The sequence below is a fragment of the Homo sapiens genome, chromosome 6 (assembly GCF_000001405.40).
Source record: "Homo sapiens chromosome 6, GRCh38.p14 Primary Assembly".
Classification (NCBI taxonomy): domain Eukaryota; kingdom Metazoa; phylum Chordata; class Mammalia; order Primates; family Hominidae; genus Homo; species Homo sapiens.
In genome coordinates, this window is record NC_000006.12 from 144,341,066 (window position 1) to 144,357,452 (window position 16,387).

At 41.2% G+C, this 16,387-nt stretch overlaps 1 protein-coding gene across 1 annotated transcript in view, besides 7 other annotated features; it reads left to right on the top strand.

The window, feature by feature from the left end:
* UTRN (utrophin) overlaps positions 1 to 16,387 on the top strand; it is a 567,700-nt gene that overhangs the window by 55,731 nt on the left and 495,582 nt on the right. The gene's annotated exons all lie outside the window — the stretch shown is intronic.
* Positions 696 to 875: an enhancer, noted in NCBI's record as "active region_25216". NCBI's record gives its function as "activates an Ori minimal core promoter by ATAC-STARR-seq in GM12878 lymphoblastoid cells {active_cell/tissue: GM12878}" and the evidence as "EXISTENCE:reporter gene assay evidence [ECO:0000049][PMID:35858748]".
* Positions 896 to 1,035: an enhancer, noted in NCBI's record as "active region_25217". NCBI's record gives its function as "activates an Ori minimal core promoter by ATAC-STARR-seq in GM12878 lymphoblastoid cells {active_cell/tissue: GM12878}" and the evidence as "EXISTENCE:reporter gene assay evidence [ECO:0000049][PMID:35858748]".
* Positions 1,056 to 1,115: an enhancer, noted in NCBI's record as "active region_25218". NCBI's record gives its function as "activates an Ori minimal core promoter by ATAC-STARR-seq in GM12878 lymphoblastoid cells {active_cell/tissue: GM12878}" and the evidence as "EXISTENCE:reporter gene assay evidence [ECO:0000049][PMID:35858748]".
* Positions 3,969 to 4,469: an enhancer, noted in NCBI's record as "H3K27ac hESC enhancer chr6:144666170-144666670 (GRCh37/hg19 assembly coordinates)". NCBI's record gives its function as "activates a minimal SCP1, AML or CMV promoter by ChIP-STARR-seq in primed H9 embryonic stem cells {active_cell/tissue: H9 hESC(primed)}" and the evidence as "EXISTENCE:reporter gene assay evidence [ECO:0000049][PMID:30033119]".
* Positions 4,470 to 4,970: an enhancer, noted in NCBI's record as "H3K27ac hESC enhancer chr6:144666671-144667171 (GRCh37/hg19 assembly coordinates)". NCBI's record gives its function as "activates a minimal SCP1, AML or CMV promoter by ChIP-STARR-seq in primed H9 embryonic stem cells {active_cell/tissue: H9 hESC(primed)}" and the evidence as "EXISTENCE:reporter gene assay evidence [ECO:0000049][PMID:30033119]".
* Positions 8,114 to 8,223: an enhancer, noted in NCBI's record as "active region_25219". NCBI's record gives its function as "activates an Ori minimal core promoter by ATAC-STARR-seq in GM12878 lymphoblastoid cells {active_cell/tissue: GM12878}" and the evidence as "EXISTENCE:reporter gene assay evidence [ECO:0000049][PMID:35858748]".
* Positions 13,283 to 13,372: an enhancer, noted in NCBI's record as "active region_25220". NCBI's record gives its function as "activates an Ori minimal core promoter by ATAC-STARR-seq in GM12878 lymphoblastoid cells {active_cell/tissue: GM12878}" and the evidence as "EXISTENCE:reporter gene assay evidence [ECO:0000049][PMID:35858748]".

A 16,387-nucleotide genomic window follows, 5' to 3' on the forward strand; every position in this document is an offset into this window, starting at 1 on the left:
TTTTAGAAGTTTCCCACTATGGAAAGTTCTATTTGACATATGAAAGTTCAACGGTCAATTTCATAGTCAGCTCCACGGCAAGAAATAAATAAGACAATGGATTACAGAGTATAGCCTTGGGACATGGGAAATTTTTTAGAAGATGGATGAGTCATATTATTAATACATGTTGCAAGGCCCAAGGCCTTACATCAAAAAATAAGGAAAAAAGTTTTTATTTTTTAAAGTTAATAGCCTTCTGATATTTTCTTTGTTGTACTTTGTATAGTTTTTGTTCTGTTTAGTTTTGGGGGGATCAAAAAATAAATCCTAAGATAGAATGTTTTAGGAAAAAGGTAATTAACATCATTGTACATGAATTTGCTCAAACACAGTAAGGTCTGAAAAAAAAAGATCTCTTTGATGTTGATTTGTTTGAATAATTACTATTCTCCCAGTACTGCACTTTTGAGAGGGAAGGAGAAATTGTTGCTAGTGTCTAAATTTTAACTTGTCTTCCTTGGCTACCTTCAAAATTTGAGATCCTTAATCTTAAATCACATCTGGTCTAACAATTCTTCCTATAAACAGTTATGACTATTTACTGACAAAAGGCTGCTTTTATTGTGCCTGTTTCTATTTCAGAGGAAGACACATAAAGACAGGTGGAAAGAACTGATTTGTAAAGATTGAAATGTCATATTTACATTCAGAATTTCATTTCCTTACCAGTTTTCAGAAGAACCCTTTGGTAGAGGAAGCAGGGCCAACTTCTTTCACAGCCTCTTACTATAGATAGAAGTATGAAGGCCAGCAATATTTAGCTGGTATGAACCCATACAGCTGTACCAGGAACAATGTTGAAAGTCTTTGATTCCTATTGGAAAATAGCCACTGTTAAAGATGGACACCTTCAGGACCTCACTTCAGCATTGTAGCCAGTATCCGTTCTGACTAGGTGGTGCCCACGCCTCACTGGCTGTTCTGTATTTTGAATATTTAGTCCTGATTCTAGAAATGACATTTTTGGGCTATGGATAAAAGATGGGTTTCGATAGCCATTAAGGAAATGCAAATCAAACCACAGTGAAATGTCACTTCATACCCAGCAGGATGGCAATAATAAAAAAGACAAATAATAACAAATATTGGTGAGGATGTGGAGAAATGGGTATCCACATACACTGCTAGTGGGAATGTAAAAGGATGCAACTTTGGAAAGCTGTCTGGCAGTTCTTCCAAAGGTTAAGCATAGGGTTGCCATATGACTCAGCAATTCTACTTCTGGGTACACACATACACACACACACACACACACACACACACACACCCGCCACACCCAAGAGACATGAAAATGTATGCCCACATCAAAAACGTGTACACAAATGCTCATAGCAGAATTATTGATATTAGCTGAAAGATAAAAACAACCCAAATGTTCATGAACTGATAAATACATAATAAAATATGGTCTATCAATACAATGGAATATTTTAAAAATAAATGAAATACCCATACATAATACAACATGCATGGACTTCAAAAGCATTATGCTAAGTGAAATAAGCTAGTCACAAAAAACCATATACTGTATGATTTCTTTTATATGAAATGTACAGAATAGGTAACTCTATAGAGACTGGAAGTAGATTTTAGTGGTTGCCTTGGGCTAAGGGATGGGGGTCGATTGTGGTGATGGTTGTAGAATTCTTTGACAATACTAAAAATCATTAAATTATACAGTGTAAATGAGCTAATTGTATAATATATGAATTATATATCAATAAAGTTTGATGCAAAAAAAGATCAATGGGTATTGACTATGGGACATCATCTGTATCACTGTGCTTTTCCCGGTCTCCCTCCCTGTGACAGTCCTAGAAGACAGGTGAAGTCAGCCCGTCCATTTTACAGATTTGGAGACTGAGGCTTAGAGAGAGAGAGAGAGTATTTTGCCAGAGTCATACAGCTACTAGTCTAAGGAAAATGCAGAGATGAGGAGGAGGAGCATAGGGGAGGTACTGTTAGTTTCTCTTTTCTGTATCATAGTACAGTAGCAGGATGAGAGACACCTTTGAATTCAAACCTGTGTGTATCCTGACAAAGATACATATTCTATGAAAAGTCTTTGCTAATAAGTAGAAGATTTCTATTTCACAACAAGCAAGAAAAAGAATGAGAGAAGGACTAGAAAGTAGATGTGATCATATGAATAATGATTTTCCTTGCTTTTTGCATGTATGTGGTGGACACATGCAGAAGTGACAGCAGGAGTTCGAGACCAGCCTGACCAACATGGTGAAATCCCGTCTCTACTAAACACACACACACACACACACACACACACACACACACACACACACACAATAGCCGGGCATGGTGGTGGGCACCTGTAATCCCAGCTACTTGGGAGGCTGAGGCACAAGAATGACTTGAACCCAGGAGGCGGAGGTTGCAGTGAGCTGAGATCATGCCATTGCACTCCAGCCTGGGTGACGAGTGAAAAAAAAATAATGATAATAAAGAGAGCAAGGTGACCACAAAAGAGAATAGGCTGGAAAAATTTGTCTAAATGGTGGCCTCTTCTCTTATAGCTGCATATGGTTAAGTTTATTTTTTCCCTAGTAGCGAATTCTAAGGGATGAAGAAGAAATCCTTTTCAGTTTTACTTCCCCAAGGTGTGTATAACTACTATAGTGAAATAATAAGTCCAATTTATTCTTTGAAGTATAGTTAATATGTAACGAAACTCCTAAGGCCAGTTGTATACCCAGGGCAAACGCCTTCTAACATCTTTATTTATCTACGCAGTGGGTAGGGAGGTGGGTGGAGTGCCCCTTCCCAGCTGATACTGTCAAAACAGGAAGCAAAGTTATAATCTCTGTCATAGGAACATGAATAGAGGCCCTTAGTTGTGACTATTAAAAAAACAAAAAACCTGCCTAAGGAGTTTTCACTGACTACAAAGTGTAACTTCCTCTCTGGTGTTTAGAGGAGGTGGGGTTAGGTTTAGTCAGATCCTCTCATGGGAAAAATAAAAGCCACCAAAAAAAAAAAAAAAAAAAACCCAAAATAACACAGGACATCCCAGTGTGCAGTTCGAAGGCTGCTTTTGTTGTCCACTTCCTCCACATCTTTTTCCTCATCATCTAAGCAGATGTAGGTGATGAGCGGCCTGGCAGCCACCACGTTTCATTGGAAAAAGTGCAGATTGGATTTGCCAGGGCATGTAGCTCTCCAGGCTTGCAAGCGATTACCAGGTAAGTTTGTCAACTTGCACGACTCCCAGCCAGTGAGGTTTTCTTAAGAAACGTCTATGAAGACAGGGTTCTTTCATTCAGTTTTGTTAAGTAACAAAGCTTAGGACCAGGCTGGTGACGGGAACAGACAGCCTGTCTTTCCTGCTGCCACGTCTGTTGTGGACCCTCAAGAGTAGAGACCAACGCTGTCTGCTTCACACTTCTCTTCAGGAAGTGATAATTCACCAGAGTTATTAGTTTCTTTGGAAGAAGCCTTCCAGGATCCCTATATTTGTGGTAGCAAATATGCTTCACTTTACCTCCCTGTATTTTCAAAATAGCTTACTCTGTGCTGTTTACTGCCATCTAGAGAAGAAGCCTCCTTTGTGGTGTTGAGTATTGGTAGACCTCATCCCATATTGTATTTGATTTACTCTGTTGGCTAAAAAGGCATTTTACTTCTTGAAATATTTAGTTTTGACCTGAGAAAGGGGAGAATAAAACGTTTGTACTTTGGGGGACAGTATGAGTGCTGGGGTTTCTGTTTCAGTGCAGGCTTGTCTATGAGACATGCATATGCATAACTTCATGCAGGGAAAGTGTCGTGCACTTTTCTCTCGCTGAAGTTTACTTCCGGGGTGACTTAGTTTTTCTGATCAGTTTAGATGTTCATATCTTGTTTAATGTATACATGTGTGTACTGGTTGTATGAGCTTTTGGAGGGGAAAAACCCCAAGTGATGTGTTTTATTCGATCATACATATCATGCATGAATGTTGTCACTATGAAAAAACTTTGAGACTGGTTGGTTTTCTTTTTCAATGTTTTCCTTTCTTGTGGAATTACTCTTTCCCTCTTAATGTTTTCCTTCTTAGCTTCAGTGAATGAGGTGGTAAGGGGTTGTAGCGTTGTCTCTGCAGAGCAAATTCAAACCAAAATGATTGGAGCAGCCCATATTTTCTTAGTGAATTGGGTTTCTTGAACAAGTGGCATAGGAGACTGGTGTGCTACAATTCTCATCATTAACTGTTACTTCTTTCTTAAATAACCATGTGATCCCAACACAACATCAAAATACCTCTCAGGGACCTGAATTAAAACTCCACGCGGGCCAGGCACAATGGCTCATACCTGTAATCCAAGCACTTTGGGAGGCTGCGGCATGAGGATCACTTGAGGCCTGGAGTTCGAGACCACTCTGGGCAACACAGGGAGATTCCATCTCTACAAAAAATTTAAAAATCAGCCAGGCATGGTGGCATGTGCCTGTGGTCCCAGCTACTTAGGAGACTGAGGTGGGAGGATAGCTTGAACCTAGGAGTTTGAGACTAGTGAGCCACGATCATGCCGCTGCATTCCAGTTTGGACAACAGAGGGATACCTTGTCTCAAAAACCTGCATAGGGGCAGCAATTGCAGGCTTGTGGCCTTTCGAAGATTTCCTTTGATTGTCACTAAATCCTCTCTCTTTCCCCACCATTAAGAGTCTCTGTGGTCAGCTAGTCTTCATCAAAGGGTCTTGCTACAAAGGGTCTAGGGTAACCTTAATGATTGAAATCAGAAGACAGCTAGAAGAAAAGTACAAACAAACCTTTAAATAATAAGCAGGCTTTGGCCGGGGGCGGTGGCTCACGCCTGTAATCCCAGCACTTTAGGAGGCCAAGGCAGGCGGATCACCTGAGGTCAGGAGTTCTAGACCAGCCTGGCCAACATGGTAAAACCTTGTCTCTACTAAAAATACAAAAATTAGTCGGGCGTGGTGGCACGTGCCTGTAATCCCAGCTACTTGGGAGGCTGAGGCAGGAGAATCACTTGAACCTGGGAGGTGGAGGTTGCAGTGAGCCAAGATCACACCATTGCACTCCAGCCTGGGTGAAAGAGCAAAACTCTGTCTCAAAAAAAAAAAAAATAAAATAAAAAAGCAGGCTTTTAAATGAGTAGCTACAGTGTTAAATATATTTAAATGCTGTGCTGGTTGAGTTCTGGTTCATTTAGATAACATTCTTTCCTGCCCTATGACCAATCAAAAGGCTTTAGGAAAATAGCATTTTTAAAATTAAAATGTATTTCAGTGCATGTTATTTTAATAAAAATAGAAAACCAATGTGTACATGATTTCCAATTTCACAAGGGCCTAGATTCTCCTCTCATCAGTTGCTATTGAACTGATTTTTTTGTGTGTGTCCATAGTGTAGGCTCTTTAGTCATCTTGTTAGAAATAAGGACATTAAATTTAATGTTAAAAATAATATTTTCAGCCAGGCACAATGGCTCATGCTTGTAATCCCAGCACTTTGGGAGCCCGAGGCGGGCAGATCACCTGAGGTCAGGAGTTCAGGCCAGGAGCCTGGCCAATGTGGTGAAACATCGTCTCTACTAAAAATACAAAAATTAGCTGGGTGTGGTGGTGGGTGCCTGAAATCCCAGCTACTTGGGAGGCTGAGGCAAGAGAATCGCTTGAACCCGGGAGGCGGGGGTTGCAGTGAGCTGAGATTGCGCCACTGCACTTCAGCCCGGGCATCAGGGCGAGACTCTGTTTAAAAAAAAAATAGATCTCTATCTCTATCACTATCTCTCTGTCTATCTATGTATCATCTATCTATCTATCTATCTATCTATCTATCATCTATCTATCTATCGATCTCTATCTTTATCCAGCTGTATCATCATTTTCACTAGATGCTAACAATAATATAACTGAGATAAACCAAAGTTTCAAAACAAGCTTGAAAATGTGAAATGAATAATTTGGAGGCGGGACTGGCCATTTAGGCATCTATGAAGGCCCAGATGACTCATGTCTGGAAATTGCCACTGCTCAGGAAACCACTCCTGGGAGCCCTGCTCGTTTTGCCATCCTTCCTGCTTTCTTGCCTGCTGACAGGACTCTATGTCAGCTGTTTCCTTTTTAGATGGAAGGGTTAAAAGATTCACTACTTGGGTCCCCCATTAGAATCACCAACATGCTTGTGCCCCACAGTCAGAGATCGTGACTTGATTGGACTGAGGCCCTGCTCTGTAGCTTGTCAAAAGCCAGCCAAGGGTGTCCAATGTGGAGGGTACAGGGGAATGTATTCGTCCCCCACTAGACTGAAAGCTCCATGGGAGGGAGTAGAGGCAGCTTTGTTACTGCTGCCTCCTAGCACCTGAATGTGTGCCTGATGTGCAGAAGAGGCTCAGTAGCTGCTTGTGGAATGAATGAATGAATTAGTTCCTTTGAGTAACAGGAAGTTGGAAGAAGATTGGACAGAGGCTTAGTTATGGTCTTTGCTGATGTAGGAGAGTGTGCTATGTTAGGCTGAACAGTGGCTGTCATCTTGGAAGACACTCCAGGAAAAGGTCACAGGGGAACAGGTGGCTGATCTGGGGGAATGCTGAACAGACCTCTCAGAAGAGACAAGGCTCCAGGGCAGTGGTGTCCTTATGAGGCAAGGCAGGTTGAGAACTTTGGGAAAGAGAATTTCATCAGGGGCTGAGTGTGTGTGTGTGAATGTGGATGTGAGGCCAGATGGGGACACTCCTGGGAGAATCTCCTGAACTGTGGCTTATTCTTTGTTTTTTTTTTTTGTTTTTTTTTTTGAGACTAAGTCTCGCTGTGTTGCCCAGCCTGGAGTGCAGTGACACAGTCTTAGCTCACTGTAGCCTTGACCTCCCAGGCTCAAGTGATCCTCCCACCTCAGTCTCCTGAGTAGCTGGGACTATAGGTATGTGCTCCCATACCTGGCTAATTTTTAATAGTTTTTCTGTAGAGATGGGATCTCACTATGTTGCCCAGGCTGGTCTTGAACTCCTGAGCTCGAGTGATCCTCCCTCTTGGCCTCCCAAAATGCTGGGATTACAGGCCTGAGCCACCATGCCCAGCCGTGACTCACTCTTAAAGGAGCTCAAGTCTTTTGTGTTGGAACTCCAGGAGGTTGACGACCACACTCATCTATTCAGTCAGCATTTGCTAGGTACCTAGCACACGCCCAGCTCTGGGGAGGTATGGGGATATAAAAATGAAGGTGATTTGATTCTTCCCCCGTGGAGGTTAGGACCTGGAAAGGATGGTGTGTGAAGTGAATGCTAGGTTTGCTGGTGGCTGAAAGGAAGGAACGTTGTCATCTTTGTCATATGTTAGGGATTGCCAGACCCACCAGTTGACTATATCCAAATAAAGGAACACAGAATTTGGAGTGATCACAGGGCAGTGAGATTTGTCTGGGAAGATATCTTAGGACTCGTGAATTTTTTGCAGATCTTAATAATTATAGAGAAAATGAGTAGGTGGTTAGGAAGACCAGGTAACTATAACTTACAGAGGTGAGAGAATGAGAATTGTTAAGTTGGGAGAAAAAGAGTAGAAAGAGCGACATGTGAAAGAAAAGAATCGGCCGGTGCGGTGGCTCATGCCTGTAATCCCAGCACTTTGGGAGGCCGAGGCGGGCAGATCACCTGAAGTCGGGAGTTCAAGACCAGCCTGACCAACATGGAGAAACCCTGTCTCTATTAAAAATACAAAATGAGCCGGGCCTAGTGGCGCATGCCTGTAAACCCAGCTACTAGGGAGGCTGAGGCAGGAGAATTGCTTGAACCTAGGAGGCAGAGGTTGTGGTGAGCAGAGGTTGCGCCATTGCACTCTAGCCTGGGCAACAAGAGCGAAACTCCATCTCAAAAAAAAACAAAAACAAAAGAAAAGAATCTTGGGTGGAGAAAATGAGAAATGGGATTAACATGGTACTGAGCAGTTCTTTTTTTTTTGTTTTGAGACGGAGTCTCGCTCTGTCGCCCAGGCTGGAGCGCGTGATGGGATCTCGGCTCACTGCAAGCTCCTCCTCCCGGGTTCACGCCATTCTCCTGCCTCAGCCTTCCGAGTAGCTGGGACTACAGGCGCCCGCCATCACGCCCGGCTAATTTTTTGTATTTTTAGTAGAGACGGGGTTTCCCCGTGTTAGCCAGGATGGTCTGGATCTCCTGACCTCGTGATCCGCCCGCCTCAGCCTCCCAAAGTGCTGGGATTACAGGCATGAGCCACGGCGCCTGGCCCTGAGCAGTTCTTTAAGGGATGAGACTTGGCCCTCAAGATCTGGGTTTCCATTACCCCTGCCATCGTCAGGGTAAGTCACTGAACCTCTGAGAAGGGGACTCCCAACCAGGAGGATCACAGGATCTCCCAACCAGGGAGGATGCCCCGGGAGAGTGTGGTCAGGATTCATGATGTTACACATTTTAAAGTTCTTTGCAAGCTATAGTAATAGTTCCAGGTAAATAAATGGAATAATAAATTCTGTAAAAATTATAAAAACCTAGTCTGTTGATAATGGGCTCTTTTAGGTAGAGTCTAGGGTAGGAAATCAAACATTATATTCATCATGGTACTTGAAATATATTTAAGCTGAAGCTGTGCACTCCATCATGTTTTTGATATATTTTTCCTTGGCATTACTTGAAAGGCATGCTCATGAAACTGGATTTGGATCTGTTTCATGTTTTCACTTGCGTTCTCTGACCCCTACTTAGAGGGCACCAGGTGCTTCCTATTCTAACCGTTTGCAAATTCAAGACTTGGTTGGAGGGCCATTCAGGGGACTGGTGTGGGGTTAGATAGGATCTGGACACAGCGACTCCCTCGCTCCTGCTCCAGTATTTTGACCTTAATTTGAACAGTTCAATGAACTGGCAACTGAAGTCGTTTTTTCCCACTGAACTAGACCTTTCATTGTTTTGCAGAGGAAGATGACTCATAGCCAGGTTCTACCATTGTGCTAAAGTGAAATTTTAGTCTAGGACTAAAGGAACACAGGCCAAACTTTCTGTCTGAGCTGCAGAGTATTGAAACTTAGATTGTGAGCTGGGCAGGAATTCCTGTGGCCCTCTGTGTGGAGTTGCTCTCAAGGAAAAGGAGCATTTAAATACGTTTTTGACTCCAAATTTAATTTTTAGTAATATAGTTCAAATGTCCTTTAAAATATCTTAAGTAATCAGACTGTTTTCTAAAAAAAAAAAAAATGTAATGCAAAATGAAAATTCTACAAAGTAGAAAACTGTCATTTCCTTCCTCTCTCCAAAACCATTGTTAATAGTTTCGTTTCTTCTGCTACCCTTGTTTTCTATGAATGTAAAAATGTATGCCTCTATGGGTGAGCATGGCTTTTCTTTTTTGAACCAAAATTGAAACCATCCTGATTTAGTGGCATCCCACTTAAAACATTATTAAAAACTACCTGTGTACATGTATCTTCGCTTACTTGGGCAATTGCTGGGGCAAATATGCTTTTACTGTTAAATCGTCATCTACAACAGATGACATGTAGAGAGATGAAATGTAGTCTATAGTTGTTTGAACTTGCATTTCTTTTTTTGTGGAACTGAACTTCTCTGCATATGTTTATTGGCTCTTTGGACAAATTCGTCAGTGATTTGGCTTTTCATGCATTGCTCATTTTCTTTTGTTGCTTGGATCCCTGACTTTTATACTCTTAATGATTCCAAGGGAAATTCCTACAAAATGGCAGATTTGGGAGGACTTATTTGAATTTCTTTTGAGTTCTAAAATGGTTAACTGCTACCTTAAAAGATAGATATTATTTTCAGATATCTAGGACAGAGGTTTGAGTCTTTGGACTTAGATTCTATAGTATTTTCTTTCTTTTTTTGGCTGATATGGAAGACGTCATCATCCCAAACTGTGCTGAGACTAGTAGTTATTTAGATACACTATTTTATTACATTTTCGTATACTGATAAATTATTTCCATATGGATGGTAAGTCCCAGATTTATTTATGAAAAAAACCATTTTTTATATATTTTATGGAACATGGAGTTAGCAGAAAGATGCTGTGGAGTTAGGCTTAAAATTAAGCCCTAACTATTCTGCCTCCTGTTTTGGGGCTGTTGTCAGTCTTTAAAGGTACATCTTTGTAAAATTTTTTGAACATAACTTGACAGATTGCAAGAAGGATTATAATAAATGGTGTCTGTTTGTGTTAGAGTATTTCAAGTCAGTACAGGAAAAAATACATTTAGATGCTAAGTGAAGATAAGACATTAGTTTAAATGAGGCCCCGTATGCACCATCATATTGAAAATTTACCAGTGTGTCCTCGTCCTTCAATTTAGATTCGTTAGTGATTTTTCACATCAAAGCATTGAAGCTGTAATTCTATGTTGGGTTCATTTAACCACAGATCCAGTAAATGGCAGGAAATAGAGAGCTATACAGGACAGCAAATGGCCTGCAGTTGTGTGGAGGATATCTTTGTGGCAAGATGCCCCAGATGTTTTGCTGTTTTCAAAGTTTGCTATCATTTGTTCAGAAAGGTTTTCATTGCTTGCAAGCAAGCAGGCAAGCAAAGGAAAAGGGCACGCAGCCGCCTCCCCTATGATTCTGTGCTCTTTGCCTTTGATGCCTTATATAAAAAGCTTTATTTAGTCTGCAGAGAGGTTATTTCTCCAAATAGAGGTGAACTGTCATAGTAGTCTGGAAACGTGATAGATTTCAGTTGAATGCCGCTGATCCAAATACTCTGAAAGGCTGGGCTGTGTGGCACTTGTAAGATAGGCACCTTGCACAGATTCTTCCAGGTCACTTGCACATATCGCCAGTAGAAATACCTCATCAGATAGCGATCCACTTGGCACTCTGAGAAGCAACTCCTATCACACCGACACTGCTACTTTTCTCCTGGCTCAGCCAGTCTCTTGCTGGGAACCTGCTGCCAGAGTTAGTCACTTGGCTTCTGCCCTGGCCTATTTTCTTGTTGACTTCTGGATTCTGTGCCTTTAGCTTCTCCTTGGACTCATTGGCCATTACTCTCTTTCTGGTGTTAGTAGCTCCTAGACTGTGTTTGACAGAAGAAATTTATTCCCCTAGCAAATTCACTTTCTACTGAGGTAACTCTAACCCACCCATGCAATCTAGCATCTGCCAATACTCTGAGACCCACTGATTGTTAATCAGTATTTATTATCTAACTCTGAGTAACGAGTGTTATAGCAGGAAAAGTAGAATCTTTTTTGTGTGTGTACGAATGTGGTTTAAGGGACTTTTGGGGATAGAGGAGAAATAAACACCTTGAAATGAATTATTATATTTTACCTTTGCCCATGTGAATTCTTTAAAATAATTATTAAATTCTCACTTTGCTTATATGCATTAAAAATTTCATAGTGATGGTATTTAAAGAGGGAGGTTATGGACATTTTGCAAGTTGGTTGAGGCAATAGTTCTCATTTCCCTTTTCATGTCCCACGGGACATGTCATATCTGTCTGCCTCCCTCCTATGCATTTCTCCTGCTGTTGCAAGGAGAATCTTATGTTTTATGATGAAAATTTATTTGGTGACTAAGTGAAGTGTGCACTATTCTTTTAAAAAGTCCTTGAGATTGCATTCTGTATATTTGCTGAATTTGTTACTAGGCCTTACGCTGCAACATTTCTGAGTAATCAAATCTAAATAAAAATAAAAGGTCGTTCAAGGTAAATCTATGTCTTGATTACTGAAATAAAGTATTGACATTTATTTCCCATAATTTGGGAAGTTATTCAGTAAATAATATTTGCCTGGTGTTTTATAATGAATCATTTTTATCATATTGGGTTTGTGTTAGGAAGACTGTCAGCATTGATTTTCCAGTAGTTTTCTAAATTTTCTCATCTATTTATGTTTCTTCTTCTTCTTTTTCTTTTTTTCTTTGAGACAGGGTCTTGCTCTGTCAACCAAGCTAGAGTGTAATGGCATGAGCTAGGTTCACTGTAGCCTCGATCTCCGGGGGTCAAGCAGTCCTCCCACCTCAGCCTCCTGAGTAGCTGGGATTACAGGCATGTGCCACCACGCTCAGCTCATTTTTCGGATTTTTTTTTTATTTGGGTAAGAGTCTCGCTCTGTTGCCCAGGCTGGAGTGCAGTGGTGCGATCTCAGCTCACTGCAACCTCCCCTTCCCAGGTTCAAGCGATTCCCTTACCTCAGCCTCCCGAGTAGCTGGGACTACAGGCGCATGCTACCATGCCTGGCTAATTTTTTGTATTTTTAGTAGAGATGGGGTTTCACCGTGTTAGCCAGGAACGTCTTGATCTCCTGACCTTGTGGTCCACCTGCCTCTGCCTCCCAAAGTGCTGGGATTTTAGGCGTGAACCAACGTGCCCGGCCCTTCTGATTTTTTTTTTTTTTTTTAAATAGAAACAAGGTCTCACTATTCCCAGGTTAGGGTCTTGAACTTCTGGGCCCAAGTAATCCTTCTGCCTTGGCCTCCCAAAGTGCTGGGATAACAGGCGTGAGCCACTGTGCCTGGCTATTTATGTTTCCTAATTACTGCAGTGCTCATGTTTCTGTCAGCTTCAACTATGCCACACATGACTAGGAATTAGAAATAAGAAAACAGTAACCAGCCTGGCCAACATGGCAAAACCCTGTCTCTACTAAAAATACAAAAATTAGCTGGGTGTGGTGGTGAGTGCCTGTAATCTCAACTACTTGGGAGGCTGAGGGACGAGAATCGCTTGAACCTGGGAGTCGGAGGTTGCAATGAGCTGAGATACTGCCATTAAACTCCAGCCTGGGCAACAGAGCGAGACTGTCTAAAACAAACAAACAAACACACACAAAAACAAAAACAAAAAAACCAAGGAGCCAAAAATAAATGACTCAGTGAACATTTATTGAGCAACTGTGGTTTGCTGGGTGCTGCGGTCGTTGTTGTGAAGGTGCTGGGATGTTTTAAAGTTGGTTTTAAACTTAAGGATTCTACTTACTGGCAGCCTAGAACCACTGCATATGCCTTGCAGAGATGATGATGGACACTTGTGTCCTCACCTGTGCAGTGCAGGCACATCAGTGAAGAGCCTTAGATTCTCATTTTGCAACTGTTTTCACACTTGGGTATCGGTTTCTAGATCTAAAGCAGTAAATGAGAAAGGCAGTGGGTGTGAATGCTGCTATAAACTGACACCCTGACAATAACGATATGCTTGTTGACAGGCTGATTGCAGAGGAGATGAAAAAATAAAGGGCAGAACAAAAAAGTCTCAAAGCTCTGCCCCCTGCGTCAGTAGGAAGCTGTATTTTGCTACTCAAGTAGACTAACATTGGAGAAATAATTAGCAAGTGAAAAAGTTCTTCCACCGAAAGGACAATGCAAGTTAAGGCAGGTAGTCTGGTTTTCTGTGCTGCAGCATCCAACCACGTTCTAGAATCCTGTTTTCATATTTTGTTGGACCCAACTGGATTAAAACAAAGCCCCTTTCTCTGGCTGGGTAGTGGCCCGAGTTAGGCAGTTTCCAGTGCTCTAATTGGTACTTTGGAGCCAGTGTCCAGTGACTTTCAGAAGCAGGGTAAATGTTCTTGGTATTGAGCAGTTCTCTGCTGGATGCCGGGCCTGTCCTCATGGTTCATGCTGCCCTTAGATCATCAGCCATTCACTCCTATGGTCGGTCAAGGACACCTTCTCTAGGAATTCTCTGCTGACTTCCAAGTGTGGGTTGGGTGCCCCTCTTCTCTGCTTTCTCCTTCCCTGCTTGGATTAAATTCAGAGATTCTAAGATGTCTTCATCTGTCACAACATTCATGATGGATGTTACCCATCAGTGTTTTTGAAAACGAGGTCTATCTCTGCACGGTGTTGAAAGATAGGTGGAACTTATCTTTTAATAATCTCTTCAGGTGGTCATTGTGTATGTTTGAGAACCTCTCCTTTAGACCATGAGCCTGAAGAAAGTCCTGTTCTTGTCTTTGAATCTTTAAACCTTCCCTAGCTCCTGGCACGTTTTTTAGTTGCTCAGATTTTTTGTTGTAGTTCAGTGAATGAGGTAGAATTCTGGTAATTTTTTTGTTGTTGTTCGGTGAATGAGATATAATTCCTGTTAAAAAATGTGTGGAAAGCAGGTATGCCTATGGAATCCAAATCCAGCAATGTGATCAAAAGCCGCTTGAAGGATTTTCGAACATTTTTCATTTCTTTCTTTTTTTTGAGACAGAGTCTCTGTCACCTTGGCTGGAGTGTAGTGGTCCAATCTCGGCTCACTGCAACCTGGGCTCAAGGGATCCTCCTACCTCAGCCTCCAGAGTAGCAGGGACTAAAGGCATGCACCACCATGTCCCACTAGTTTTTGTATTTTTGGTAGAGATGGGGACTCCCTATGCTTCTCAGGTTGGTCTTGAACTCCTGGGCTCAAGTGATATACCTGCCTCTGCTTCCCAAAGTGCTGGGACTATAGGCGTTAGCCACCATGCCTGGCCCATTTTTTCTTATTGTTTTGTAAATCAACATTATGTGAAACCTAAAATTTAATATGGATATACAAAAATAGCTTTTTTATTTTCTTGCCCAAGAAAATAAACTGTATCTTTATTATTTATATTTTTGCCGTTTTGAAATAAGCCTTTTATTTTAGAATAATTTTACATTTATAGAAAAGTTGCAAAGATGGTATGTAAAGTTCCCCAGTTACCACTTTTTGCCACTGTTACCCAGTTTTCCCCACTGTTAACATCTTGTTACCCAGTTTTCCCCACTGTTAACATCTTACATTACTATGTTACGTTGATCACACTTAGTGAACTGATATCAGGATTGTTATTATTAAAGGCTTTAAGAGTTATTGTTGAAGATTTATAAATTTATAGATGAAATAATATTTAGAACATACCAAATTTTGAATTAGAAATATTTTAAAATTTGAATTCTTTGATTTTAAGAATTAAAACTTTTGAATTCTTATATGTAGTCATAGTTGGGAATATATCCACAAAGCAAGTAGACCAATTCTTGTGAGAATGATTCTGAAACAGGTTTTTCAGTTGTCATTAGCCTTCTGGAACCTCAAAAGGGGGAAGGTTACTTTCAAAGGCTAACATTCATTTAATCTATCTGTAGTACTCCATATGAATGACAATCATTACTTATCGACATCTCAGGTTTTGTTAGATATGATATTTGTTTTAATTATTTATGGTATATTCAGGCAGAGGTGCTATTCAAAATATTTAACAGGTTGGCATAGGCCTCAACCACCCAGACTGCTGTTCAAGTAATCAGAAGGGATGCTGGCTGGTGAATGTGTCAGTCCTATTAACTGACACATTTCTATTAATGTCTAAAATGTCCTAAAAATGTCTCCAGATATTGCCAGATGTCTCGTAGGTGGCAAAATCACTTCTGGTTGAGAACTCCTGATATAAAGCAGTTAGAACAGGCTGGCACTGCTCTAGTAACTGCTTTCTAAATATTCACTATTATTATTGTTGTTGGTATCTTTCATTTGTTATTTCTGATAACTTTTAAACATACACTGCTTAGCCCCAGCACTTTGGGACGTTTAGGTGGGTGGATCACTTGAGGTCAGGAGTTCGAGACTAGCCTGGCTAACATGGTGAAACCCCATTTGTACTAAAATTACAAAAATTAGTTGGGTGTGGTGGCGAATGCCTGTAATCCCAGCTACTTGGGAGGCTGAGGCAGGAGAATCACTTGAATCTGGGAGGTGGAGGCAGAGGCGGAGGCTGCAGTGAGCTGAGATTGCACCACTGCATTCTGTCTTGGGCGACAGAGCAAGACTCCGTCTAAAATATGAATAAATAAATAAATATATGTGTGTGTGTGTATGTGTGTGTATATATACATATGTGTGTGTATATATACACACACACATACTGTTTATCAAGACATATTAGGATTTCTTTATAGTTAAATCACCACATGCATAAAAAATAAAGTTACATTTTTTTGTAAGATTTACTCAGAATTTGTTGGAGACCCATAGCCTGTTGTAGGAAGAAATGTAAGTTCTATTTTTGAGGGAGATTTTCAGCCTTTTTTACTTGCCCTCACCTGCCATGTTCCTGACACTGCAGCCTCGAGAAAGGTTTGAGACTGTTGGAGCACATGGGTGTGGAATTTGTAGACCACTTGTTCTTCCAGACTTCCTCACACCCACCCATAGCCTGCTTTTAGTTGATAGTGGCTCAGCAAGGGTAGGAGCCTGTACTTTGGCTCATACCAAATTCCCCTCATTTCCGCACGATGATATGTTATTAGTATTCTGATCCCTGTTATTTGTTAAGTTAAGCTGTGCTTCAGGAATCTCAGAAGATCACAGCATTTTGTTTTCAGTGACTTCATTTCATAATATATGCTCTGGGCAGGTGAGACTAGACTTAGAGACATTGAAGCCCAACAATTTAATATCCACAA